Source organism: Homo sapiens, chromosome 13 (assembly GCF_000001405.40).
Source record: "Homo sapiens chromosome 13, GRCh38.p14 Primary Assembly".
NCBI lineage: Eukaryota > Metazoa > Chordata > Mammalia > Primates > Hominidae > Homo > Homo sapiens.
Window position 1 is genome coordinate 57283996 of NC_000013.11, and position 4759 is coordinate 57288754.

The 4759-nt window shown below is 40.4% G+C and overlaps 1 annotated feature.

Moving 5' to 3' along the window:
• Positions 2179 to 2785: an enhancer, noted in NCBI's record as "H3K27ac-H3K4me1 hESC enhancer chr13:57860308-57860914 (GRCh37/hg19 assembly coordinates)". NCBI's record gives its function as "activates a minimal SCP1, AML or CMV promoter by ChIP-STARR-seq in naive H9 embryonic stem cells {active_cell/tissue: H9 hESC(naive)}" and the evidence as "EXISTENCE:reporter gene assay evidence [ECO:0000049][PMID:30033119]".

Sequence of the window (4759 nt, forward strand, 5' to 3'; positions counted from 1 at the left end):
ACTTCTCTGCTCAAGTCCATAAATGACATGAAGTGAAAGCACCATGAGTATTGACTTTGGGGTCACAAATACACTTTAAATAGCAAATATGGAATTTCCCAATAATTAGGATTAGCTGTATATGTACAAATAATGTTTAAATTCTAATTTCCTTTAAAAATGTTATGTTGATAATGTAGGATTTATGAAAGCAAATATGTTCATAGTTACCTTTCTTTTTGACTATTTGAGTATCTAAAAGCTAGTGATTACTTTCTTGATAATTGGGCAGATTTGGTGAGCTTATGAAGTTTTGGAGCCTGATTCAAGTTACTTATTTTTCCCCGGAAGAAATGTTCATGAATATACTAGCTTGTATATAATTTCAGGTAGTTCACGGAGAATTAAGCAACATAAATCACACCATTGTATGTTTCCTTGTCCTACAAAACTGAATTCAGTTCTAGTAAGCAATTCTAAAAGGCCATAAAATTACAAAGTGAGATAAAACAAAACTAAAATGAAAACCAAGAGCTATATAGCATGGTTCAAAGACACAGAGATGGTAAAACTAAGGATTTTTGATAGTAGTCTACATTTATACTAAAGGCATATGGAAGGCACTTTATTAAATTTTTTTGGTAAGGATTCAGAGGCTAGAACACGAATTAATGGAGGAAAGCTACAAGAGACTCAAGAGTAACCTTTTGTCCAACCGAATTGTTCAAACATCAGCAAACTTCCTGAGAATATAGGTTGGATACTTGTCCCTGTAGATCTAATCAAATTAAGAATGATTATTTGTGGATATAATAAAGATATTCAAATATTATATAGTATTTAGATGGGCTACTTGAAGATAAATATGTAGAATGTAAAATTCCAAACTTTATGAATATTCAATTTTATTCTTTTCTTTAAGTCAAATACTAATGAGTAAAAGGAAATCTTTCTTTCTCTTTTTTTTTTTTTGAGATGGGAGTTTCGCTCTTGTTGCCCAGGCTGGAGAGCAATGAAGCAATCTCAGCTCACCTTCACCTCTGCCTCCCGGGTTCAAGCTATTCTCCTGCCTCAGCCTCCTGAGTAGCTGGGATTACAGGCATATGCCACCACGCCCAGCTAACTTCGTATTTTTTAGTAGAGACGGGGTTTCTCCATGTTGCTCAGGCTGTTCTCGAACTCCCGACCTCAGGTGATCCACCCACTTCAGCCTCCCGAAGTGCTTGGATTACAGGTGTGAGCCACTGCGCCCGGCCCAGAAATCTTTCTTAAGGAAAAAGAAGTCTTGCCCATATTAAAATGAAAACTGTTTTTAAAAACAGTTTATATTGTATGTTTCATTTGAGTAGAAGCTTATTTAGAGGTATAACATTTCTAAGCATAGTTCAAGTAAAAACTCCTTTTTAATATAAAAAGTTTCATCTAAGTAAACTCTTCTTGTTTTTTAAATGTAAGTGATTTTAAACACCTTATATTTACTAATAGTGGGTCCGGAATTGGTGGGTTCTTGGTCTCGCTGACTTCAAGAATGAAGCCACGGACCCTCGCGGTGAGTGTTACAGTTCTTAAAGACCGTGTCTCCAGAGTTTGTTCCTTTAGATATTCAGATGCGTCCAGAGTTTCTTCCTTCTGGTGGGTTCGTGGTCTCACTGACTTCAGGAGTGAAGCTACAGACCTTCACAGTGAGTGTTACAGCTCATGAAGGCCGTGCAAACCCAGAGTGAGCAGCAGCAAGATTCGCTACGAAGAGCAAAAAAACAAAACTTCCACAACATGGAAAGCAACCCAAGCCCGTTGCCACTGCTTTTATTCCCTTATCTGGCCCCACCTACATCCTGCTGATTGGTCCATTTTACAGAGAGCTGATTGGTCCATTTTACAGAGACCTGATTGGTCCGTTTTGACAGGGTGCTGATTGGTGCATTTACAATCCCTGAGCTAGACACAGAGTGTTGATTGGTGCATTTACAATCCTCTAGCCAGACACAAAAGTTTGCCAAGTCCCCACTAGATTAGCTAGACACAGAGCACTGATTGGTGCTTTTACAAACCTTTAGCTAGACACAGAGTGCTGATTGGTGCATTTACAATCCTTTAGCTAGACCCAAAAGTTCTCCAAGTCCCCTCTAGATTAGCTAGACACAGAGCACTGATTGGTGCATTTACAAACCTTGAGCTAGACACAAGGTACTGACTGGTGTGTTTACGAACCTTGAGCTAGACACAGAGTGCTGATTGGTGCATTTACAATCCTTTAGCTAGACATAAAAGTTCTCCAAGTCCCCACCAGACTAGCTAGATACAGAGTGCTGATTGGTGCATCCACAAACCCCAACCTAGATACAGAGTGCTGATTAGTGCATTTGCAATCCTCCAGCTAGGCATAAAAGTTCTTCAAGTCCCCACCAGATTAGCTAGATACAGAGTGCTGATTGGTGCATCCACAAACCCGGAGCTAGACACAGAGTGCTGATTGGAGCATATACAATCCTCCAGCTATTCATAAATGTTCTCCAAGGCCCCACCCGACTCAGGAGCCCAGCTGGATTTGCCTAGTGGATCCTGCACGGGGATCGCGGGCGGAGCTTCCTGCTGGGATCCCGGGCGGAGCTTCCCGCCAGTCCCGCGCCGCGAGCCCGCACTCCTCAGCCCTTGGGCGGTCAATGGGGCGCGGCGCTGTGAAGCAGGGGGCGGCGCCTGTCAGGGAGGCTCCGGCGGCGCCGGAGGGAGTGGGGGTTTGCTCAGGCATGCCGGGCTGCAGGTCCCAAGCCCGTCCCGCTGGGAAGAGGCTGAGGCCTGGCAAGAATTAGAGCGCTGCGCCGGCAGGCCGGAAGTGCTGGCGGACCCAGCGCACCCTCCGCAGCTGCTGGCCCAGGTGCTAAGCTTCTCACTGCCTGGGGCCAGCATTGTCAGCTGCCTGCTCGGAATGCGGGGCCAGCCGAGCCCGCACCCACCGGGAACTCGTGCTGGCCAGCGAGCGCCAGCGCGCGGCCCAGGTTCCACCCGCGCCTCTCTCTCCAAACCTCCCGGCAAGCAGAGGGAGCCGGCTCCGGCCTCAGCCAGCCCAGAGAGGGGCTTCCACAGTGCAGCGGTCAGCTGAAGGGCTCCTGAAGAGGGGCCAGAGTGGACACCGCAGCCTGAGGAGGTGCAGAGGGAGCGAGGGCTGCTAGCACGTTGTCACCTCTCAATAGCAAGACCAAAGCTTACAGATGTCCATTATGTAAATAGGTAAGAAATATCTGGTTCTTTTCTTTGTTGATAAGCTTCTCAGCATTTTTTTGTGTTTTAAAAGTATTTTGTAGTTTATTTGCTATATGGAATCAACTTTAATTTTCTTACTTCTTATTCAGGCTTTTTTATAAGTCACTATATGAAAAAAGTCTTAAAATCCTAGTTTCAGAAAGCAATGTAAGCTCAACAAATGGAGGGTATCTAACTTCTATTGAAAACAGCAGTGATAAATTAACCTATTTGGGTTGATTTCCTCATTGATTGGCAGTTGTAAAATTGGGAGTAAGAAAAGCTCTCTGAGCAACTGTTATGCGGATTGTCAGTCAGCGGAAAAATATCAATGTCCTTTGATAACTTTGTCTAAATATTTTTCTTAGAAAATAAAATCAGTTTGGCTTAAAGATATTCAAACAATGAAATAAAAAGTTGATTTTAGGCAGTATAAAAATATAGAGTGTAAAAGTAAAATCATAGTGATTAAAATATATTTCAAAGTTATTTCATATTAATGTTAGGTCATTTCAAGTCTGATAGGATAGGAGTTTGGGAGTATTAAAAATCTGTTGTATAACTATATAGTAATATTTTATCTATTTTAAAATCCTACCATCCTTTGTTTACACACATATACAAAAAGCTTTCACCATCAGAGGCAACTGTGGGAAGATTCTTTATAATTTATGTATTGCATTTGTAGAATGAATCCGTTTTAACAAAGTAAAATCATATAAAAACCATTGTGGACTTTTTTCCTTCTATTTCATCAGTGGCTGTGTGGAGAGAGGGTGACAGTTTTGCAGAAGTTGTCATTCAAACTAACAAATGAACATTATATCATTATATAAGTGTGTCTTCTATGTAAAAGCATCAAGAGAAATTATAATGATACTATATCCTAATACATTCCAGTTGAGATGGAAAGATTAGACATTAGTTACCTCTAAAAAATAAAAAAAAACTTATTAATAAAATTTGATGATCGGAAGGAGTACGTTATAATTTCTAGAACAGTGTTTCTCAAACTTGAATAATGTACAGATTTATTTTAAACTATTTTTAAGAACCCTCATGTGTATAGATCTATAGATCTTACAGGTGCATAGATCTTTAAAATGCTGCAGTCAAATTCAAGAAAACACTGCTATGTTTATTTCAGCATTTTTCACAATAGCCAAGATATGGAAACCAAAATGAACATCAGTGAGTAAATAGATAAAGAAAATGTATATATACACACAACTTTTAAAAAATAAATTCTGTCATTCCAACAACATGGGTGAACCTGAAAGACATTCTGGTATGTGAAATAAGCCAGGCGCAGAAAGACAAATCCTGAATGACTTTACTCAAAATGTTGAACTCATAAAAGCAGAAAATAGAATATGATGACCAGAGACTAGGTGGGCAGGGAGTAGGGAAAGAGGAGATGCTGGTCAAAAGGCACAAAGTTCTACTAGGTAGAAGATACATTTTAGAGTACAGCATGATTACCATAATTAACAATATATTTTATATTTCAAAATTGCTACACGTAGATTTCTACCATACT